The 24,448-nt window shown below is 39.3% G+C and overlaps 1 protein-coding gene and 1 long non-coding RNA gene across 53 annotated transcripts in view, besides 2 other annotated features; one reads left to right on the top strand and one right to left on the bottom strand.

Moving 5' to 3' along the window:
- The window catches only part of LOC124906316 (uncharacterized), a 40,949-nt gene extending 25,069 nt beyond the window's left edge, over nt 1–15,880 (bottom strand). The window contains exons 1-2 of the long non-coding RNA XR_007096213.1: nt 15,651–15,880; nt 14,940–15,056 (exon numbers count right to left, since the gene is read on the bottom strand). This is a non-coding gene — a long non-coding RNA (uncharacterized LOC124906316). The remainder of the gene's footprint in view (nt 1–14,939; nt 15,057–15,650) is intronic.
- Nucleotides 1–24,448, top strand: part of LPP (LIM domain containing preferred translocation partner in lipoma) — a 737,651-nt gene that overhangs the window by 477,404 nt on the left and 235,799 nt on the right. The gene's annotated exons all lie outside the window — the stretch shown is intronic.
- Nucleotides 5,408–5,960: an enhancer, noted in NCBI's record as "H3K27ac-H3K4me1 hESC enhancer chr3:188353620-188354172 (GRCh37/hg19 assembly coordinates)". NCBI's record gives its function as "activates a minimal SCP1, AML or CMV promoter by ChIP-STARR-seq in naive H9 embryonic stem cells {active_cell/tissue: H9 hESC(naive)}" and the evidence as "EXISTENCE:reporter gene assay evidence [ECO:0000049][PMID:30033119]".
- Nucleotides 5,961–6,512: an enhancer, noted in NCBI's record as "H3K27ac-H3K4me1 hESC enhancer chr3:188354173-188354724 (GRCh37/hg19 assembly coordinates)". NCBI's record gives its function as "activates a minimal SCP1, AML or CMV promoter by ChIP-STARR-seq in naive H9 embryonic stem cells {active_cell/tissue: H9 hESC(naive)}" and the evidence as "EXISTENCE:reporter gene assay evidence [ECO:0000049][PMID:30033119]".

A 24,448-nucleotide genomic window follows, 5' to 3' on the forward strand; every position in this document is an offset into this window, starting at 1 on the left:
ACACCACTCAGAATGGCTATTATTAAAAAGTCAAAATTAATAGATGTTGGCAAGGTTGTGGTGAAAAGGGAATGCTTGTGCACTCCTGTTGGGAATGTAAATTAGTTCAGTCTCACTGTGGAAAGCAGTTCAGGGATTTCTCAAAGAATGTAAACTAGAACTACCATTTGACCTAGCAATCCCATTACTGGGTATATACCTAAAGGAATATAAATTGTTCTATTAAGTTGGTGCAAAAGTAATTGTGGTTTCTGCCATTAAAAGTAATGGCAGAAACCTAATGAAAAGACAAATGCACTTGTATGTTCATTGCAGCACTATTCAAAATAGCAAAGACCTGGGATCAACCTAAATGCCCATCAATAATAGACTGGGTAAAGAAAATATGGTATGTATGCACCATGGAATACTGTGCAGCCATGAAAAGAGCGAGATCATGTCCTTTGCAGGGACATGGATGGAGCTGGAGGCCATTATTCTTAGCAAACTAACATGAACGGAAAACCAAATACCACATGTTTTCACTTGTAAGTGGGAGCTAAACACTGAATACACATGGTCACCAAGAGGGGAACAATAGACACTAGGACATACTTGGTGTAGAGGCTAGGAGAAGGGTGAGGGTCGAAAAACTATCTATTGGGTACTGTGATCACTACCTGGGTGATGAAATAGTTTGTACACCAAACCCCTGGGACACACAACTTACTGATGTAACAAACCTGCACATGTATCCCCTGAAACAAAAATAAAAGTTGAAAAAGAAAGAAAATAATGTTTATACTTAGAAAAAAAATTATCTTTCTTCTAGCCTGAGTGATAAACATTTTTTATTATTATAGTTTTTAAAAGTTTGGAAAACTGCCTTTAATCTGCACAACTTTTATTAGTATTGTTGTTTGAAATTTAAGATAATCAAATTTGGGGACACTCCTATTAAGTTTCTTTTATTTGTGAGCTATTACAACACCCTTACTCTTACTGCAGATTCATAGCTGATGAGTTCTATTTTGTGCAATTAGCATCAAAAAGAAAAATCAAGTCAGCCGTGCATTTATAATTGTGTTCAGTGCATTACTAAGCACATTCCTAAAGAGAAAGTATCTCCATTTGCATCATCGAAAACCAAGTAGTACTCCACATGTATACTTTTACACATCTGACTATTGGTTGAATTTCCAGCAGACTCAATTTCTGTCTCTATGCATTTTACTCCTGTTTGTCTCCTCTACTAGTCTAATTTCCATGCTGGGTGTTATAGGACACATTAATGACACGTGACTTCTGGTCCCACAAATCTGTGTCACAGAGCTAGGACAGTAATGGGCCCAGGCACATTGAAGCATTCCAGGAACTCATTCCTATACAATGACGATGGGTGATGACTTAAGCACACACCATAGTGACTGCAGACCATGTAAATATATCCCATGACACTCAGCTAAATGTCTCCCTGACTCAACCTTTCTTAACCAATCTCAAAGGTCACATGTTGATTCTAACATTTCCCTACATGAGCGTACACAGAAGACAGAGTAGAAGAACCATAGTGAACATACAGCTTGGTCCCCTCCCAAGACCTTAGTAGGGGCCAGTGTACATGAGGGCCCCTGAAGCTTCATTTCCTTCCTCGTCAAAGCATGTTTATTTAAAAGTATTTATTTTACTCTGGATACTTCCTCAGAAATAGTTATTCCTTTCCTTTTTTCCCTCCCTCTCTCCTTACCTCTGTCTTTTCCTCAAACATTTATTTAGTGTATACTATATTCTAGACCCCATGTTGAAGAATAAGATACATATGCTGATGTCTACAGCACTGCATAGAAAGTAATGGGTAACCTAAGTGGTTACAAATAAAATCTACTAGCTATCCTGGTGATTTAAAGGCCACCTTCAGCTGAATGTTCAGGAAAACCTTTATGAGGAAGTAGCATTTGATCTAACCTATAGGACCGGTAGGATAGGGCCTGGGTGGGGAGACTGGGAGATGGAAAGGCATTCCAGTGTGCTGGTGCTGCACATGGTGGGACTTCTATCACATGTATTCTCTATCTGTAACAGTTAAAGTTTTTTGGTTACTTGGCCTGGGTAATGGCAAAGCAAATGTACTAAAAGAAACTCTGGTTTTGTGGCCACCTCAGTTCCTTTGGAGAATGTCCTCTCTCAGCTGAAGCTGAGAACATCCAGTCACATTTCTGTTCTGGAACCCCTTAAGCTGTTTCTGTGACAACATCTGAAAGAATTAAGCTTTATCCAAGTCACCAGAAAAGGGCTTACGTTAACTGTTTTCACTAAGACTCTACGTTTCAATACTAACACTTACGGACAAGTGGAAGGTATTCTTCAGTTGTATTTGGTAGTTCTTCTGTAGCGCCCCTTTTGTCTTCCTCCATTTCTCTCTTGCTAGCCCTCAACTCTACCCCACGTTCGTTTTCATTATCTTTTTTCTCATCCCCCATTTCCTGCTTATTTGTTTATTCTGGTGGCTCTTCTCTCTCTCATAGACGACATAGAAGCATGGCCTTCTTTCTGAACTTTCCTTGACCCAGAGGGAGAAAAGTCTAACATACTATCTTATTTATGCAATCTGAGGAAAGTTGTTGGCCAGCCATCACCCAGTGTGACCTAGTGACAGAACCAGTAGGGATATCTGAGTGTTCAGTCTTTGAATGATTCTTCCAAGTCATATAGATGTGTTGATTACTTCAATCTTGAACAAGATATGTTGTCACTATCATACTGGGCTATGAGTACTTGAGAACAGGGAACTGTGTAGTAAAATTCACCACATATGCTGGTAGCACACAGGCATCAACCAGTCTAAACAGAACCCACCCGGGTCACCTCCCACGTCACTGCTAAGACACAGTTCTTTACACAGACCATGTAAATGCTGTTGTGTTGTTTTGTCAAAGCTTCTATCACTCTTCTTGCTGTAATTTGAGAAGCAAAAGCATTAATAACCAGTTACTTACATAACTGGTATTGTAAGGCTTACTGGTGGCAGACAGCATTCCTGTGAGCAGTATTAGCACACCTCTCGATGAGAATGGCTGTGAACTACATTCTTTGGAGTAACAATAAGAAAGACTATACAAAACCTGGTCCTCTGTCTACAGTGAATGAACACGCTCATCTTTTCTTCCCACAGTGATTTTTTTCCAGATAACATATTCTAATGGCATGAGTATATTAAAATAAAGTCAGATAGGGTGAGGAGGGGCATGCTAACAAAAATAATCTGTCACTCTTGCCAAATGGAGGTAATACAGTCACAATATTTACAAGTAAAATGGCAGGGATGTAATTGAAAGTACATCTATATATCATCTATATATCATTCATATCATTCTTCAAGCTGTTATCACAGTTCCATCTTTGACTGATGCCTCTTCAATATGTTGTATAATGTACTATAGAGTTATTCCTTTTTACTCTTTTGCTCATGGAAATAATTTGAAGGCTTTTAACCTTCTGATCTCATTTTTCACTTTGTTCCAGACATGGCTTACTCTCTCTGCCATGGAACTATCAGATAAAATGCATAATTTGATTAGACCAAAACTGTACTACCATCAGTCTGTCGGTCAACACAAGATATATTTTAAGGGGATCTACACAAAAGTCTGCATGAAAATATTCCATATAAAGAATAGTTACATAAACCTTAATAAAAAGAAAATACTGGGAAGCACTTAGTGTCTCAGATTCTGGAATCAAAGCTCTCTTTCTTTTCGTTTCTTTTCTCAGCGATTCAAATGACCACTCTGATATTTTCTTTGCCAAATTAACTTTAGCATTGGAGGGGCGTTTATATAGTATCTGGCTTAAAGCTATTATTTTTCTCATTTGCTCTGCAGACATTTATTGATCACTTACTGTGTGCCAGGCCCTGTGATAGGAATGGAGGTAGAGAAGACACAATCCCTTGCCCTCAAAGGTTTCAGTGACAGAAGAAATAGATGAAGAGAATGAGGCCTGAAGTCATTTGCTCATGGTCCTACAGGCACAGAGCAGGGGTGCCCAACCCCCGGGCCATGGACCTCTACCAGTCCGTGACCTGTTGGAACCAGGCTGCACAGCAGGTGGTCAGTGGCGGGCAAGTGGGCGAAGCTTCATCTGTATTTACAGCCACTCCCCATTACTCACATTACTGCCTGAACTTCACCTCCTGTCAGATTGCAGCGGTATTGGATTCTCATAGGAGCGTGAACCCTATTGTGAACTGCACATGCGAGGGATATATTTTGCGTGCTCCTTATGAGAATCTAATGCCTGATGATCTGTCACTGTCTCCCATCATCCCCAGATGGGACCATCTAGTTTTGGGAAAACAAGCTCAGGGCTCCCACTGATTCCACTGATGGTGAGTTGTATAATTACTTCATTATATATTACAATGTAATAGTAATAGAAATAGCATGAACAATAAATGTAAAGTACTTGAATCAACCTGAAACTATCCCCATGCCCCAATCCATGGAAAAATTGGAGACCACAGAACTGGTCCCTGATGCCAAAAAGGTTGGGGACCACTGGCATCGAGGATAGAATAGGGACCAGAAAGAGATTGTGCAGCCGTCCTTCTAGATCTGGTTCTTGTCAACCACTCCATCTCCCTAATGTGGGACATGGCAGAAGAGTTACAACTAGAGTAAAATAATTCTTGTTGTGAGTTGCAAACTTTATGGGCTCCATGTTTAAATTATATTATTAAAATATGTATTTTGTGTTTGATATTAATCTCATAGACATTTAGGAGAACGATTAGATTTCTGATGCCTCTAGGCATTCAGAAGTCTCTAACTCACATGCTGCATTGTCTGAAAGGTTCTATTTTGTGATAGTGCTTCTTGGGCATCAGTGGGGACAGCTTAGAAAGCTTGTCGTTGCATCTAAATAAATACTGAGAGTTTGGATATGTTTCTAAGTTCCTTTCCTTTGAACTGTGGGGCATAAATCTCACGAGACAGCTTGTTCTCAAGAGGTTACCAGTACGTTTGGTTCTAGTCTGTCCACAAATATTGTGAGAACAGGCTTATTCAGATTATTTTGACATGCTCAGACAAGGCGTTCCGAACCATGTGAGAAATGAACGTGTGTGTGCAAGGGAAATACACACAATGCTACTGAGCCTCTAAGAGGCTCCATTTCTCGTGTTTTGAGGAGTGGAAATTGTCTCAAAAAATCAGCATCTCAGCTCTCATTCCTAATGTATCAGAATCTAGAAGTTCTGGTTTTGGAATCTGATATAGTGAGAAATCAGAAGATGTCCTGGGGTGTGGGAGAATGATATGTTCTTTAGTCGAGTTTAAATGAGTTTATTCCTTAACTTAGCACTTCCCCAGTGGCACAATAAGCACTCAGTAAATGTTTATTGAAGTGAATTCCAATTCCTGATTTGAATTTAGTGTTGGAGAAATTCCAGTCACCGGGCTGATAAAAAGTGGTGTCAGATTACTGGAAAAAGGACTATGTGGAGAAGCTGCTTGCAAGTAATAAACTCTTTGTGTTAGAGTCACCTGTTTTACCCAATGCCTAGCCTAGATCGTTGAAAAGGAAATTGAAGGATGGTATTCAGATTAAGAAACAGATCCCTGGATTATGTTTAAGAATTTCTGGGAGGAGCCAAGATGGCCGAATAGGAACAGCTCCGGTCTACAGCTCCCAGCCTGAGCGACGCAGAAGGCGGGTGATTTCTGCATTTCCATCTGAGGTACCGGGTTCATCTCACTAGGCAGTGCCAGACAGTGGGCGCAGGTCAGTGGGTGCGCGCACCGTGTGCGAGCCGAAGCAGGGCGAGGCATTGCCTCACTCGGGAAGCGCAAGGGGTCAGGGAGTTCCCTTTCCTAACCAAAGAAAGGGGTGACAGACGGCACCTGGAAAATCGGGTCACTCCCACCCGAATACTGCGCTTTTCCGACGGGCTTAAAAAACGGTGCACCACGAGATTATATCCCGCACCTTGCTCGGAGGGTCCTACCCCATGGAGTCTCGCTGATTCCTAGCACAGCAGTCTGAGATCAAACTGCAAGGCTGCAGCAAGACTGGGGGAGGGGCGCCCACCATTGCCCAGACTTGCTTAGGTAAACAAAGCAGCCAGGAAGCTCGAACTGGGGGGAGCCCACCACAGCTCAAGGAAGCCTGCCTGCCTCTGTAGGCTCCAGCTCTGGGGGCCCAGGGCACAGACAAACAAAAAGACAGCAGTAACCTCTGCAGACTTAAATGTCCCTGTCTGACAGCTTTGAAGAGAGCAGTGGTTCTCCCAGCACGCAGCTGGAGATCTGAGAATGGGCAGACTGCCTCCTCAAGTGGGTCCCTGACCCCTGACCCCCGAGCAGCCTAACTGGGAGGCACCCCCCTGCAGGGGCACGCTGACACCTCACACGGCAGGGTATTCCAACAGACCTGCAGCTGAGGGTCCTGTCTGTTAGAAGGAAAACTAACAAACAGAAAGGACATCCACACCAAAAACCCATCTGTACATCACCATCATCAAAGACCAAAAGACCAACATTAGACAGATCAACGAGACAGAAAGTCAACAAGGATACCCAGGAATTGAACTCAGCTCTGCACCAAGTGGACCTAATAGACATCTGCAGAACTCTCCACCCGAAATCAACAGAATATACATTTTTTTCAGCACCACACCACACCTATTCCAAAATTGACCACATACTTGGAAGTAAAGTTCTCTTCAGCAAACGTAAAAGAACAGAAATTATAACAAACTATCTCTCAGACCACAGTGCAATCAAACTAGAACTCAGGATTAAGAATCTCACTCAAAACCACTCAACTACATGGAAACTGACCAACCTGCTCCTGAATGACTACTGGGTATATAACGAAATGAAGGCAGAAATAAAGATGTTCTTTGAAACCAATGAGAACAAAGGCACAACATACCAGAGTCTCTGGGACGCATTCAAAACAGTGTGTAGAGGGAAATTTATAGCACTAAATGCCCACAAGAGAAAGCAGGAAAGATCCAAAATTGACACCCTAACATCACAATTAAAAGAACTAGAAAAGCAAGAGCAAACACATTCAAAAGCTAGCAGAAGGCAAGAAATAACTAAAATCAGAGCAGAACTGAAGGAAATAGATACATAAAAAACCCTTCAAAAAATTAATGAATCCAGGAGCTGGTTTTTTGAAAGGATCAACAAAATTGATAGACCGCTAGCAAGACTAATAAAGAAAAAAAGAGAGAAGAATCAAATAGATGCAATAAAAAATGATAAAGGGGATATCACCACCAATCCCACAGAAATACAAACTACCATCAGAGAAACCTACAAACACCTCTACGCAAATAAACTAGAAAATCTAGAAGAAATGGATAAATTCCTTGATACGTACATGCTCCCAAGACTAAACCAGGAAGAAGTTGAATCTCTGAATAGACCAATAACAGGATCTGAAATTGTGGCAATAATCAATAGCTTACCAACCAAAAAGAGTCCAGGACCAGATGGATTCACAGCCGAATTCTACCAAAGGTACAAGGAGGAACTGGTACCATTCCTTCTGAAACTATTCCAATCAATAGAAAAAGAGGGAATCCTCCCTAACTCATTTTATGAGGCCAGCATCATCCTGATACCAAAGCCTGGCAGAGACACAACCAAAAAAGAGAATTTTAGACCAATATCCTTGATGAACATTGATGCAAAAATCCTCAATAAAATACTGGCAAAACGAATCCAGCAGCACATCAAAAAACTTATCCACCATGATCAAGTGGGCTTCATCCCTGGGATGCAAGGCTGGTTCAATATATGCAAATCAATAAATGTAATCCAGCATATAAACAGAGCCAAAGACAAAAACCACATGATTATCTCAATAGATGCAGAAAAGGCCTTTGACAAAATTCAACAGCCCTTCATGCTAAAAACTCTCAATAAATTAGGTATTGATGGGATGTATTTCAAAATAATAAGAGCTATCTATGACAAACCCACAGCCAATATCATACTGAATGGGCAAAAACTGGAAGCATTCCCTTTGAAAACTGGCACAAGACAGGGATGCCCTCTCTCACCACTCCTATTCAACATAGTGTTGGAAGTTCTGGCCAGGGCAGTTAGGCAGGAGAAGGAAATAAAGGGTATTCAATTAGGAAAAGAGGAAGTCAAATTGTCCCTGTTTGCAGATGACATGATTGTATATCTAGAAAACCCCATTGCCTCAGCCCAAAATCTCCTTCAGCTGATAAGCAACTTCAGCAAAGTCTCAGGATACAAAATCAATGTACAAAAATCACAAGCATTCTTATACACCAACAACAGACAAACAGAGAGCCAAATCATGAGTGAACTCCCATTCACAATTGCTTCAAAGAGAATAAAATACCTAGGAATCCAACTTACAAGGGATGTGAAGGACCTCTTCAAGGAGAACTACAAACCACTGCTCAAGGAAATAAAAGAGGATACAAACAAATGGAAGAACATTCCATGCTCATGGATAAGAAGAATCAATATTGTGAAAATGGCCATACTGCCCAAGGTAATTTATAGATTCAATGCCATCCCCATCAAGCTACCAATGCCTTTCTTCACAGAATTGGAAAAAACTACTTTAAAGTTCATATGGAACCAAAAAAGAGCCCGCATCACCAAGTCAATCCTAAGCCAAAAGAACAAAGCTGGAGGCATCACGCTACCTGACTTCAAACTATACTACAAGGCTACGGTAACCAAAACAGCATGGTACTGGTACCAAAACAGTGATATAGATCAATGGAACAGAACAGAGTCCTCAGAAATAACGCCGCATATCTACAACCATCTGATCTTTGACAAACCTGAGAAAAACAAGCAATGGGGAAAGGATTCCCTATTTAATAAATGGTGCTGGGAAAACTGGCTAGCCATATGTAGAAAGCTGAAACTGGATCCCTTCCTTACACCTTATACAAAAATCAATTCAAGATGGATTAAAGACTTAAATGTTAGACCTAAAACCATAAAAACCCTAGAAGAAAACCTAGGCATTACCATTCAGGACATAGGCACGGGCAAGGACTTCATGTCTAAAACACCAAAAGCAATGGCAACAAAGGACAAAATTGACAAATGGGATCTAATTAAACTAAAGAGCTTCTGCACAGCAAAAGAAACTACCATCAGAGTGAACAGGCAACCTACAAAATGGGAGAAAATTTTCGCAACCTACTCATCTGACAAAGGGCTAATATCCAGAATCTACAATGAACTCAAACAAATTTACAAGAAAAAAACAAACAACCCCATCAAAAAGTGGGCGAAGGACATGAACAGACACTTCTCAAAAGAAGACATTTATGCAGCCAAAAAAACACATGAAAAAATGCTCATCATTACTGGCCATCAGAGAAATGCAAATCAAAACTACAATGAGATACCATCTCACACCAGTTGGAATGGCAATCATTAAAAAGTCAGGAAACTACAGGTGCTGGAGAGGATGTGGAGAAATAGGAACACTTTTACACTGTTGGTGGGACTGTAAACTAGTTCAACCATTGTGGAAGTCAGTGTGGCAATACCTCAGGGATCTAGAACTAGAAATACCATTTGACCCAGCCATCCCATTACTGGGTATATACCCAAAGGACTACAAATCATGCTGCTATAAAGACACATGCACACGTATGTTTATTGCAGCATTATTCACAATAGCAAAGACTTGGAACCAACCCAAATGTCCAACAATGATAGACTGGATTAAGAAAATGTGGCACATATACACCATGGAATACTATGCAGCCATAAAAAATGATGAGTTCATGTCCTTTGTAGGGACATGGATGAAATTGGAAATCATCATTCTCAGTAAGCTATCGCAAGAACAAAAAACCAAACACCACATATTCTCACTTATAGGTGGGAATTGAACAATGAGATCACATGGACACAGGAAGGGGAACATCACACTCTGGGGACTGTTGTGGGGTGGGGGGAGGGGGGAGGGATAGCATTGGGAGATATACCTAATGCTAGATGACGAGTTAGTGGGTGCAGCGCACCAGCATGGCACATGTATACGTATGTAAGTAACCTGCACAATGTGCACATGTACCCTAAAACTTAAAGTATAATAATAATAATAATAATAATAAAAGTTTGGGACGAAAAAAAAAAAAGAAACAGATCCCTCATGGTATCCCATAAAAGTTACCTTAATTTATGAAAATCCAACCTGTGCAATATGGGTATCTTTTTTACAATAGAAGTGATTTATATGGGCTACTCTTCCCATAGCAAGAGTCTCATTGCCTTACCATATAGCTCTTTTGGAATTTTTTTTTTTTAAACTTGAATATATCAGAATGATAGTAACTGGCCACTGGAGAAAAAGCTCTGACCTCAAGCCAAAGAGCAATCTGTCTACATGTCTATACCATGGCAGTGATTATTGATAACACAACTGATTATTGTAATCACAACTTCCCATACAGAAATTACTATTTGTATTATTCTCCAAAAAATAAGGCCAAATGCCATAATGTGTTTTTTCAGAAACAGTAGAACATACTCTTAGAATGATGTGAGTGCACACTCACTCTCATTCTAGTTTATTCTAAACGAGAATCTGAGATGAATGTTCCAAATCTCTCCAATCACAAGGGAGGAGGGTACATTTGCAGTGGATTTTTCTCAGAAGGTTAAATCTAAAGAAGTAATTAAGGCTCCACATTTCTGATTTGCAGGAAACTGCGTTATGCATTTCCCTTGGATGAAAATAAGTAAAGAGGATAAAGGAAGACTCTCAAATTGCAGTCTGTGTGACCTGTTTTTGAATAAACATAATCATATTCCACAGTCAATTATCTCCAAAGTACAGTGTGTTCTCCAGCCAGAGCGAGAGAGTGAGAGGAAGAATGTCAGTTAGAAGTGGTTAGAGAAGAGGACACATGCATAGAAGTGTACATCTTTCTATTGTCCTCTGAAAATTTTTATACGATTTGGGAGGGGTTAGTGGGGAGGATTATACAGTATTTTTATGTGATTTCATAAATGTCAAATTTCAGTCATCAGTAAGAGAGGCAAGCACAGGTAGGAAAACAAAATGAGATATGTTATGTTCAGCACAGTAATAAGGCTCCTAATACCAAAGGAAAAACAAGTCAGTAGTTACAACTATTGAATAGAAGTGGTCTAATCGGAGCAGCAGGATGCGTATCCCATTTTATTATGGCTTCATTATGTGTTTTGCAAGGCTCTTTGGATTGCCATTAAAATAATTTTGTGCAGCAGCACTGTGAGGACTCAGAATCCAGAAGCGTAACTATTATTTTCTTTTCTTCTTTGTTTTCTTTTTGAGGTAAAGTTGGCAGCAAAGGAAGGTTTCGGATGGACCAAGTATAGACACAACACTTCTGTTAATTCACATGGGGACTAGGCAGCCTCCCACAATGGCTGTGACATTCATCCTGTTCTGATAGAAACTCCCTGCTTTCTGTGTGGCCTGGGATTTGAATCTGGAGGTCTTTGATCCTTAGCCTCTCCCGTGGCTGGTTACCGGATGGAACGGACCTGATCTTTCATTTCCCAAAGAAGGCCTATTACCATCAGAAGCAAACCGCATCCTTGCTTTTATAGCAGTTGCGCTTGATAATTATTGGTGATACTGACATCTGCCCATGCTTACTTCATATTCATGAGCCTGAAGTGGAATTTTTTTTTTAAGCTAACATCCCCAGTTTTGGGGAATAGAGTATTTCCTCCAAAGTTAAACCCTGAGGTTTATTTCAGAAAACCAGTAGTCAAGTACCCTTCTTCTCACTGAGCTAAGAAATCCTCATAAATTATTTATTTCCCATTTTAGACATTGGACAGTGACTCAGTGTGCCCTGGAAATATTATCACTGTATTAATTTTCTCATGTGGCTCAGCATAATGTTAGAGAAATGGATAGTTACAGGTCCAGACACTATAAAGATGGAGCTAAATATTCTTCTAAAAATAGGATGTTTGGTTAACGTTTAGTAGTCAACAACTTTCCTGAAGCCACACACAGTGCCGGACTAAGAAATGGAATAAATGTCCTCATACAGTATTTGGTGAAGTCTCCCTTTAGGAGATTAAGCTTTTAATGTTAAAGATTCAGAGTATTTTAGCTTTATCCCTGAGACTTATTATTTGACGTGATGACATCTTTAACTCAAGAGGTCAACAATTGGGATAAAATGCCATGCTGTGGGTGATGGACGCCATAAAAGTAACCTGATAATCGGTCAGGTGCGGTGGCTCACACTTGTAATCCCAGCACTTTGGGAGGCCGAGGCAGGCAGATCACCTGAGGTCGGGAGTTTGAGACCAGCCTGACCAACATAGAGAAACCCTGTCTCTACTAAAAATACAAAATTAGCTGGGTGTGGTGGCACATGCCTGTAATCCCAGCTACTCGGGAAGCTGAAGCAGGAGAATTGCTTGAACCCGGGATGCAGAGGTTGCGGTAAGCTGAGATCGCACCATTGCACTCTAGCCTGGGCAACAAGAGCAAAACTCCATCTCAGGGAAAAAAAAAAATTAACCTGATAATTGAGTTTTAGTTATAAAAGTGCCAAAATGCTAAAAGAATTTACAGTTTCTGACCACTGAAATATTTTGCTCTAGCCTGGGTACAAGAAGAAGCGAGTTTGAGACTAGGAATGAATGAGAGGAAACTTTTGATTCTTACTACATAGGTTCCTTTTAGAATTTTGAATGTTTAGAGCTAGAAATTGAATATTCATTATTCTAGCCCAGACATTTTACAGAGGAGAAAGTCAAAGTTTCAGAGATGAAAGTTGTACCCAGGGCCACACAGTTAGGTTGCTGCAAATATTAAGAGAACTTACTTCACTTAATTTGGTGCATTTTTATTCTTCTATTTATAGACGAGTAAAATGTGCTGAGACCAGTGCATTTTAAGCTCCAAGACTGTCACTTCTTCATTTGTCTTAGGCTTTTAGATTCAATTAAATAAGTAATGCACCTAAAGATTCATCAGCTGGGAATACTGTCTCACCACTGAATGACTTAAGAGAGATAATATTGCCTTGCTGAAGACATATTATAAAAATCTGAGAATGAGCATGTGTGAAGCTCTCTGATACTCTTACAAGAAGTGAAGTATAAGTAGTTGTGGATTCCTTCAAATGAAACAAAATTTTTCTGGACGCCTTTTTAGATAGAGTATATGCAACCCAGGAGTATAGATGTGATGTCTCCTGTCCTGTGCAGGAGTATAAATGTGATGTCTCCTGTCCTGTGCTCAGGCAGGTTAGGATTCTGGCAGACCATGAGACACCCCTGAGCCATCACTTTAAAATGCCCCGTATTTCAGTAGCGTCTATGTGCTAGGATTTCTGTTTGGGAGTACAAAAAGCAATGAGATTGTTTTTCTTGAGTAACCTGAAGTCTACTGGGAAGAACCCAGTGGTAACCCAAATAGCTATGACACAAGGTAGAAAATAGTACCAAGGTAGATAGAGATAAAACCTTTGATACTTAAAGGAAGACAGAAATACTGCTGACTGGGAATTTTAGAGGAATTTTCATGAACAAAGATCAGTAACATCATCCACTATCCATGAAATATTGAACTATAAGGCAGTTTTAGTACTGGGAAAGAAAAACTACATCATACCTACCAGTAAGAATCTCATGATCATCATATTTTAATAAAAGATGAAGAGGTAAGATCGCTTATTCTGTGTTCCAAAGAAATTCCTGGAGGAGAAGGGATCTGAGCTAGACTTTCATAAATAGAGATGATTTGGATAGAAGAACAATTTAGAGCATCCTGGTTTGAAAGAACAAAAGGATCTAAGGCAGTAGCCCTGGGAATGTACTTCACAAGTTCAGGATCAATGAGTATCCAGTTTAGCTAAAGAAAACAATTCTAGTGAAAGAAGTAAACAAACGTTTGGTAGGATGAAATGGTTCCATCTTATGGAGAAGCTTAAATATTGATCCAAGAATTTTGAACACCCTAGTGGACTTCAGGAGAACCTTGTGACTCTGAGCAAAGATAAAAATAAATTGATATGGGAAATGATGTTCCTTTCAGATTAGAGAAACTCCTGAATTAATCTCAAATTTGGAGGCCGCTTAGTATAACAAAAAAGTATATTTTCAATATTGCTGATATGTAATCTAAGAATGGTTCTCTCTTCCTGTCACTGAAATTCATCTATTATTTATTCCAAGCTTTAAAAAAAAAGTACTAAAATAAAATTGTGTGATTGAGCATTGCAAAAGAGTGGGTTTTTATAATGTGGAAGCCAAAATTTTTTATCAGAAAAGAAAAGAGAAAAAAGAATCTATGCTGAGAGGAGATGGCCAACTACTACATAGATTTATTAACTCAACAAAAGGGTGACCAGTTCTTCCAAACCTGGTATTTGTTGGTCGTATCTATTACAAGGTAGCTGTGGCTTGGTGCAGGGTGCAGACAAGAGAGGGAACAGGAAGAAAGAGATTAGTGTAAACTGTGAAATCAGGCAAAGCTAGACTCAAATTTTGTCTCTGTTTTCTAGTAACTATGTGTGACCTTGAATTATTGAAGCTCTCTAAACTTCCACTTTCTTGTTTGCAAAATGGTACGATGGCATCTACATATAGAATTATAGTAAAGAGTAAATGAGAAATACATGTGAATACCTAGCCGCTTCTGGAAAATAGTATGTACTCAGTTACTGGTTATTTTTATTATCGTTGTAATTACTATTTCCAGTGATGTGATGCTTATTACCTTCCAAAGCAAGTACTTTTATATTTGAATAAGTGAAAGCTCTTTCCCATTATTTCTAAACCCTTGTCCTACTTCTCAGTTCTAGAACTTTTTTTTTTTTTCCTTAATGGAAGGAAAGAAATAAGGAAGGGTTGGAGAGAGAGAGAGAGGAAAAGCACCTTTGTTTGTATGCTTTCTTTAGATACGTTGAAGACAATACTCACAAATCTCTTCAGTCGTCTCTCCATTTGGATGGCCATCCTCAGTGCTTAAGCACTTCTTCATAAATATGATTTTCAGAAGCATCTGAAGCATCTGTATTCGGGGTCCTGTCCTCATCCCTGTTAAGAAATATAAGGCTCAAAATCAGATGTTGTTATGTGAGGTGTGGTCTCGTGCATGGAGTACAAGGTCACTTTTCATTAGGAGACAAATGCGCAGTAATACCTACAGTGTGGGAACGTGGATCCCTTCTCTTTAATATCAGTTTTGCCAGTGCCCTCCTTTGTAACCCAGAGTAGCTTCAGATAAACCTACTGAGCCCTTCTTTTCTTGTTCATAGGAAAATATTTTTAAAGGGATAGTGCATTTATAAGAAAATTTTTATATACTTCTTTTACCCTGAGAGGATTGCAAAGTTTGTCATGCCCTGATTGACAAATATAAGTTCAAAAAAAAAAACAGAAAATAAATTCCTTAAATAATTTATATCAGACAAATGGATCTGAATCTAAGCAAAATTTTCAGGAAAAAAAATGTTTATAATCATTAGGTAAAAGTAGAATTCTGACCTTATCTTTATATTTTCTTTATATTTTAAAGCTTTGCCTACATATTCCAAGACTTGGCTTTCAGTTTTCCTAAATCTAAACAGAGAAATAAATGAAATCATGTCTAAGATTTCTTCCGATTTTGACATTGTTATATGTCCTTACCTGTAAAATGAAGAAAATATTTTTTCTTTTTATCAGGGTTGTTGTTAGGAAGAAATGATATTATGGATATTGTGTTTCAGCCTGCTAGGGACAGATACTTTCATAGCTTCATTCATTCACCCTAGGGTAAAAGTATCAGTGTTTTCTTCTTTTTCCTTCAGGATTTATTCCTTAGTCAGGGAGTGACCAAGGATGGTCAGCCAGAACCTCAGCTGGTCACCTGGAGCATAATATGGTAAACAGAACCATACCCAAAGTTCTGTTTACGGAGGCAGTCCTGGCTACCAGTGAATGATCAGGAACCCTATAAGCTAGCCCCTGGAAGAACAATGATGCTGATTTTATCTGTAAAATAATTCTTTGCATACAAAGTACTATAAACTCAGTTGGTTCTCCCTGCATATTTTTGAATGATTGTAGGCAGAGTTTTTGTTATCTGTTTTACTAATGATGCAACTGAGGCCCGTAGGAGTCAGGTTGCCTATAAAGGCAAGGATGTGCATACAGAATTACCCAAAGCAAATTGGTATTTTGTGGGGCACAACCTCAAAACCACTGATATCTTGCTACATTTAAGTACAAAAAGCTCCTATATGCCACAGAATTAGAACATTACCAGATCTTAAATGTTCCTTAGAAATCACCTCAACTGATGCCCCACATTTGGCAGAAAGCCAAAAAGTTTCTCAGCTAGGAACAAAACACAAGTTCCCTTTCTATCACATGGTGCTGAAGCTTAGATGCATAAACCGAACAAATCATCAGGAAGCTATAAAAGGAACAAACAAATACAGTCTCTGGAATCATTGCAACCTCAATACACATCTCATTGCCACTTCCTGGACATTTGTGTCTAGCTAGGTTGCTTCCCCTGCCTGAGCCTTACTGTGAATATGTGCCAAGCAGAGTGTTGCTGTTAATTGAGCTAGATAACATGCCAGTGTCTGGCCTAGTTCTTGGCCCATAATAGGTATTCAACTAATATTTACTTCTTTTCATCCACTCACCCTTCTTCTTAACAGTTGGAACCCCTGTTTTGAACTGTTCACTTCTACTCTGGATTTCCCTGTGTAAGCTCACTTGCAGAAGAGGGTGGAGGTGAACACACTGCATTTCCCACCATCCAGCTCTGACCTGGGCCCACCCTGTGCAGGACTCTGCTGACTTTGGGATGCCAGCTGTGGTCCTCACACAGGGCTCACTGTATCCGGGGGCCTGGCTTGATCCGGTAAAGAGCGTCTGCTGCGGTGCCTGATGGAAAGTGCCCGCTTAATTGGGAGATAGGGCTTCATGAATGGATCTTTCATTAGTTGAAAAAAAAAAATATTTGCCTGCAAGGACTGTAAACAGAAGACTTGATTCACTTGTTCCTTTTCTCCTGCCCTCTCTTGGGTTTTGTTTGACTTAGCGTGTTTATACCTCAGGACACAGCTGGTACTAATGCCTTTCCAAGGTTAAGAAAGCTTTCCCTGCCATTCCCTATGGTCCCCTTTGTGTACTTTCAAGAGACAATAAAGGAGGTGTGGATGTGAGACAGAGAGTGCATTCACATTAGTCCTGGCTATTATGGGGACCTCAGAACAAGCATCACCTCCACCCTGTCTGCATGGATTTAAGAGAGAGCATCTGAGCACCTGAGCTTACCTCAAACACGTTCTTTGAAGAAGAGTCACTGCCGGTCATTTCTGTAATGTATCACAGCTGTCCTGACCTGATCCTTCTCTGCTCTATCGTGGCTACTTTAGCATATTTTTCTCAAAAAGTGTTCCTCTTTCATAATTAAAGGTGAGGGAAGACTGGATGAAAAAAGCTGTGGGATATGGTCAGCACATAAGGCCTGTGGTCAAAGATGGGTCTTCAGTTACATCGTTTGGTCTTACTAAGCCTCAATGTTCTCATTTGTAAATCTGGAATAATCATTAGACCTTTTTCACTCTGCTTGTTGTGAGGTTCAAACATGAGACTCAATGAAAAAGTACTTTTTGGACAATAGAACACTACATAAATAGGAAAATTTTAATGGAACCTTCCTCATATTCCATTAATATGTTGGTGCTCTGCATTATAGTAGTACTTTAGTTGACTTGAGCACATGATGTAGTTGACTTTAGATTAAACTTTCACTAAGTATTACTTAGAAAAAACGAGCCATCATGTGATTCTACAATCTTTATGGGCTACATAGGGATGGTGAATTCTTTTCACCACTAGCAAAGGCTCCTAAAGGATCATGCCTTACTCCCACTCCATAGATGAAGACCTTAGGCCCCTGGGAATCCATTGAGCTCACAGAGGTTTACATAATGCCAAATCAGGATGGGAAGTTAGATCCTGCTTAGTGCTCATAACTGGCTTATGAGGTTTCCATTTCAGACAATGAATACTCATCAAGGAGGATTGGTGGGGAACCATGAGCTGTTCATGTGTACTGCTGCACTCACGTCGTATCCAGACACCCAGATATCATCTCTGGCCCACTGCAGTAAGATCTCTGTCTTCTGTCCTGTTTGTCTCTCCTTCATTCATTCCTTCATTTGCTCTATCTAGCCTTCATACTTCTTGAATCACTTTGAGTATGGTACCCTTATTTTAAATAAATAGTACCCTCATTTGGGTATTTGTTTCCAGTGTTCCTGAGGCTGGGGAATTTCTCCAGAGTTTAATGATGACTCTGGTGCTCAAGCACCAAGAAAATTTCCACTTGAGATGGATCTGGCACTGGAGGTTTATTTTTTCCCCTTTCTATTTTATTGTTGGCCAGTTTGGGCCAGCATGTTGCTAGGTTGTATTGGTTTCTTAGCTCTTGTAACCAAGCTAAGATGCACATGTCAAAAAATATTTTTTCTTCCTCTCTAAAAAGGTTTTTCCTCTTTTCTGTAATGCTTCAGGAAGGGAAAAGAGTGTTTGCTTGATTCTAATTCTGGCATATGAAGTGTTTGCTACAAAATGTTTTTATCACTGTGTTATCTTGTCAAAGTGCTATCGTCATTGTCATTTTCAGTTTAATAGCAGGAATGTTCCATTTTCACAAAGGATATTCCATATTTTAAGTAAACTCAACAAAGGAAATTTCAAATGCAAAAAAATATTGATAGTGAGAAGCTAATTAGTTTTTTTATTTCTCAAAGCCCTACATTTAAAATAGCTTTAAGTTTCCAGTATGTCATGCTCTGACAGTAGCATTTACAGGTAAAGGATGATGCTTAACTAGGATTATGGTTACATTGTAAACACTCAAGCCAAAGAAAAATATATCCTTGGACAAAGGGGTTAGGATGATTTGCCAGAGTGGCCTCCAGTGTTTGGATGACAGCTACATCACTGTGATTTAATGCACCTTTAGTTTCAGGAGTTGTATCCAGACTAGTCCTCATCTCAGCCTCACCAAAGGGGACTGGACTTAACCACAATAGAACTCAGAGCTCCTGCAGTGAAACCCAGTCCCTTTCCATGCGGGAAGTGATAACCGCAGGTGAAACTCTGAGCTAGGGAAATACCATCTTGGTAGTCCTGAAGTGATAGCACTTACATTCTTTTGCCAGGCATCCAAAATCCTTTATTCTTCAAATAGTTGTGAAGGTTTTTTTTTATTATTATATAAAGCCTTGCAGTGAGTCATAGAAGAAATGCACTGGGGTCTGAGACAGAGAGAGAGAGATGAAACAACTATAATTCCTGAGTCAACTATGATTCCTGTCTTCAAGAGTCTCATGATTAAGAAATGGAGACAAAGCAGAAATAACTAATTCCAACTTCCTAAGCTAAATGTCATAATGAACAAGGAACCAAGGAAGCACATAGAAGGCTTAGGTAAATTCTTCCTGAGGGAATTCCTCTGTTATAGGTAATAATTATTAAGCTTCCACCTTGTCTTGTTTCTATGTCTCTATTATTATTTAATATTTACAGCTAAAGCTATCTATCTATCTATCCATCTGTCTGTCTAGAGTTCCTACCTAATGGTATGTTTCAGATTAGGATAGATTTCTCACTTGAAACAGTCTGTCTGATGTTTTGCATCCATCCATCCATTCATTCTACAAACTGTTATGCCCTCTATATGGCAAGCATTTTGCTATATCCTTACTACAGAATTCACTTAGGCACTAATACCTATTTTAATTATGGAGACAAAAACAGCTAAGAAAATGTTATCACTCCATAGATGAGTTAAAGAAAAAAAACAGGGAGAATTTCTTGAAGGTGATGTCAATATTATCATAAACTCAGGCAGTCCATGCTGAAAATGATTTTTTTGTGAGCCAGAATCCCCTGTACTCATCATTTATTCCCTGATTTACTGCGTTTTATTCTGTATCAGATGATGTGCTAGCATAAAGCGGGGACATAACATCTTCTGATATCATGAGACATTGTTTCTAAACCTCTTTTCTTGGTGATTAGACCTATGCTTGTGCCCATCAGAGTCAAAGGTTGTGGACACTTGCTCCGCTGCTTGTTTTTTCTGCTATCTTCTGTCCTTGTTGGTTGCATTCTAATGGACCTATACCAAGTGCTGTCAGAAGATGAGAGACTACAAATCAGATTCCACAAGGATGTTCACAAATAATAAGCATTTGGTTGCAATTTAAAATTGGTTGGCAGAGCAATAGGGCATTTGATTATTAGGATTTTACATTATCTGAGTGACTTGGAAATAGAAAAGAAGGGACTTGTATTATATGTCCAGAAAAAAAGTCCAGCAAACTATAATTCATAGGCAAAATCCAGTGCACTGCTGTGTTTGTAAATAAAGTTTTATTGGAATTCAGTCACGCCCATTTGCTTATGTGTTGTCTATGTCTGATTTCTGTCTACTTGGTGGCATTGACTAGTTTTGAGAAACCAAATGACCCACAAACTTTGCAATATTTACCGTCTCTTTATTGAAAAGGCTTGACCCTCTATAAAAACGAATTAATCCTGAAGGAGAAGAAAAAATAAATAGGGACCCTAATCATATTTTTAAATTTATACAGCATGCAGTTTTGAAACACTCAGTCAATGATGTAGAACAATTAAAAAGAAAAAATAAAACCTGGGCTAAGATGATAGACAAATTCCCTTTCAACTTCAACCAGTTTGTTCTGAGGATATTGTGTGCTTCAGGAATTTCTGCCATATGCTGGGATATTCAGACATATATAACGCAGTCTGCCTTCCAGGAACCCTTAGTCTGTTAGTGGAGATGGACATAGAAAGCAGCAAATACTCCTTTGTGTAACTCATGCTGTATATGAGATAAGATAATGAGGCAGAGAAGAGTTGGAGAGTAGAGATGGCCTGGCTTTTGGGAATTTGGGGAAGATATCATAAAACAGTAGAAACTTAAACTATGTTTGAAAGCATGAACTCATGATAGACGGGCAAGGGTAGAAACAATCGTTTTATTTCTAGAAGCTTCAACTCTATCTTGAAATAGTTTGTTGTGTATATTAGTCCGTTTTCACGCTGCTGATAAAGACATACCTGAGACTGGACAATTTACAAAATAAAGAAGTTTCAATGGACTTATGGTTCCACATGGCTGGGGAGGTCTCACAGTCATGGCAGAAGGTGAAAAGCACATCTCACATGGCAACAGACAAGAGAAGAGAGCTTGTGCAGGAAAACTCCCATTTTCAAAACCATGGGATCTCACGAGACTTATTTACTATCATGAGAACAGCACGGGAAAGGCCTGCCCCCATGATTCAGTTACCTCCCACCAAGTCCTTCCCACAACACATGGGAATTAAAGATGAGATTTGGATGGGGACACAGCCAAACCTTATCAGTGTGTTTATAATGGCACCACAGTTTCTAAAGTATTATCCATTATCTTTTTGGTCTTTATAACAGAGGTTGGTTGTAATCATTATCTCCATTTTATTAGTATTTCTTAAAAGGCTTCATCAAAGCAGTTAAATGACTTTTTCAGGGTTTCACTGCTTATAAGTGGTAAAAGTTACCTGACCCTACCTCTGACTCTAAAGCCACAGGACTGTCCCCTTAAATCAAACTTTCTGGCCTAAGTCTACAGGTATTCCCCAGAATTTCTAATTGACATGAAATGCAAGAGAAAAGAGTCTTTGAATTTTCCTGCACTGGAGCAACCTGCCTTATTCCAGACATTGCCAAGAAATTGTTTTTGCCACTGACATTATTGCGCATGCTGCCAGTGGAAGTAATAGTGATCTGGACTTCATATGCTTTCACCGAACATGCATATGGCTCTTCTTATTAGACTGTCATAGGGCTCCCTTACTTTCAACTTTCCTTGGAGGTTTCTCTATTTTCTGTCCTCTTTTCCTTTCCTTGTTTCTGATACCAGCCTATAGATCCTCTGTCACCAGTTGGGTTTCTTCATCACATGGTTTTCTCCTTCTCAGGTGGAGTTTTGGCCAGAGGGAGGAGAATCTGTTCAATTAAACAGATTCTGTACAACAGATTCTGTATAATGCAAAACAGAACCGATTCTGTAAAATGCAAAAAAAACCCTTTTCTCTTGCATTTCAGATCAATTCTAAATTCTGGGGAATATCTGTAGACTTAGGCCAGAAAGTTTGACTTGAGGGGACAGCCCTGTGGCTTTAGAGTCAGAAGTAGGGTCAGGTAAGTTTTACCATTTATAAGCAGTGAAACCTTGAACAAGTCATTTAACTGCCTTGATGAAGCCTTTAAGAAATAATAATTAAACATCCCCTGGTATTTGAGAAAAGAGGTATCCCAAGTCCCACCATTTACCAGGTCCTATTACTCACAATGCTGGTAACCATAGGTCTCCATCCCTTATGCTCACTCCTCTTACCACGCCCTGTCTAGGAGCTACTTCTACATTTATGTGCTCAGTCTTCTATCCAGAACCCTACCCCCAAATGTCTAAGCTCCTCACACCTCAGTTCTCTGTCTTGGGCCATGGAACCTCTAACACTGGTTTGGAAGTGTGTGTCTTTTTCCTCAGGCAGCTGGAGCAGAGACTGATTCCACTGCCAATTCTTGCCTCAAGAAGAGTCGTCTTGAGACAATAGGTTGAAGCTTTCACTACATGTTCTTTTAGCAAAAAATTATAAAGCATAGAGGTTGAGATGGGCTCTGGAATCAGACTACAAAGATTCTGATCTTACTGCTTCAGTTATAAGCTCTGGATGTTGAGCACCTCTCCTAATCTCCCCAAGCATCATCTACTGAAAGGGGGCATCACAGGACTTCCCTCATTGAGCTGTTGTAAGGATTAAATGAGCACATGTTAAGTTTCTGGCTGTGTAAGTTTTTGTTATTACTTTTCTTTTGTACTTGAACTTGTCATACCATGTTTCTATTTTGGGTTCAGAAAATATGGTTAACATAATTATAGGTGTAATAGAAATTTTGGATTAGCCTGTGAACATAACACACAATTATAGCACTGTTTTTTTTAATGAGAGAATGAATTCCTGAGTTCTAAACAGATGAGTTACAAAGAAACTCTTGGACTGAAGTCATCCATATATAATAGATGGTCCAGTTTGGAGTAGAAGACTGACTGTGAAAGATAATTGAAAGTCTGCAAAAATATTTTTTACTAAATGCACTGTCTTTTTGAGCTTGCATTCATAGGCACATCTAACGCACCTGCCCCAATGTAACCAATCAACATCACATACAGCCCTCAGTTACTAAGTTTATGAGGTAAATTTATTTTCCTTCTTGGTTTTTGTTTCTTTGCATTTTGATCTTTTTATCTCTTTGTTTATTAAATAAGAAATTAGAATCTCTGATCAGTAGATTGGCTAGGATCTGCTTATGAGTCTTAGATGCAAAACTGACAAATCTTTAATTGGTTGTGCCATCGTATCTGTCCTCAGGCTTGTTAGCTAAAGCTCAGTTAGTGATTTGCCACCACTGCCATTGCTTGGTGGTAGAATAGGGTAAAGGATTATCATGCCAGCATCCCTTGTCCGCTGTGACCTTAGTCTTAGTGAACAAATTTTCTTGTGTGCTTTCTAAAATGCCCATGACCCTTATTTCATACTTAGGAAATAGAAGTCACAAAGATTTCCTGAGGACCTCATCATTATGTGGAGCTAGGAAAAGTACTGTGGTTTATAGCTCTGTGGTTTACACAAAGGGAAATCCAATTGATTTGCACAAATACACAAAACAAAATATATTTAAGTGCCATGAAGAGAAACGATGTTCTTTAGGAATTAAGAGGAGGTTCAGAAGGAAAATGGTGTTGATTGAATCTGGCCAACTGAGCTTGGACAATCAGTGACCTCAGGGAAAGGAGTGTTAGGAAAGAGACATTCCTGACAGAGGAAATAACATAAGTAGACAGGGAGATAGAACATTCTGGAAATTGAATCTGTGTTAAAATGCCTTAAAAATGGTGCATCATACGAATTTAGCGACATTTCACTTCAAGATTCTTACACACCTTAGGGTGAAAATCAACAAAGACCTTAAAATGCAGACAATTAACTCTTTTTCTCTGTGTTGTGTGTGTGTGTGTGTGTATGCGTACACACATATACTCCACATATCTCCACAAATCAATGACAATATCAAATGGAGCAATTTTCCACAATTTTCTCCAAGAAACTGCATGCTTAAGCACTGCACTCAGCAAAATGTTGTAAGTCCATCAATATTTCTCAGTCTTGCTGAGTTTCTGCATGACCCCCAATAGCTTACCCAGTCTCTTCCTCTATAAGTAATGATCGCAGATTCTACATCTGCAAGTACAAGAATCCTTTCACAAATAAATTCCAGAGGACTCCAACCTGCAGTGTCTTTAGTGAGTCAGAAATTAGGAAGATAGCTTCAATTTGGTTATA

This window comes from Homo sapiens, chromosome 3, assembly GCF_000001405.40.
Source record: "Homo sapiens chromosome 3, GRCh38.p14 Primary Assembly".
NCBI classification, from domain to species: domain Eukaryota; kingdom Metazoa; phylum Chordata; class Mammalia; order Primates; family Hominidae; genus Homo; species Homo sapiens.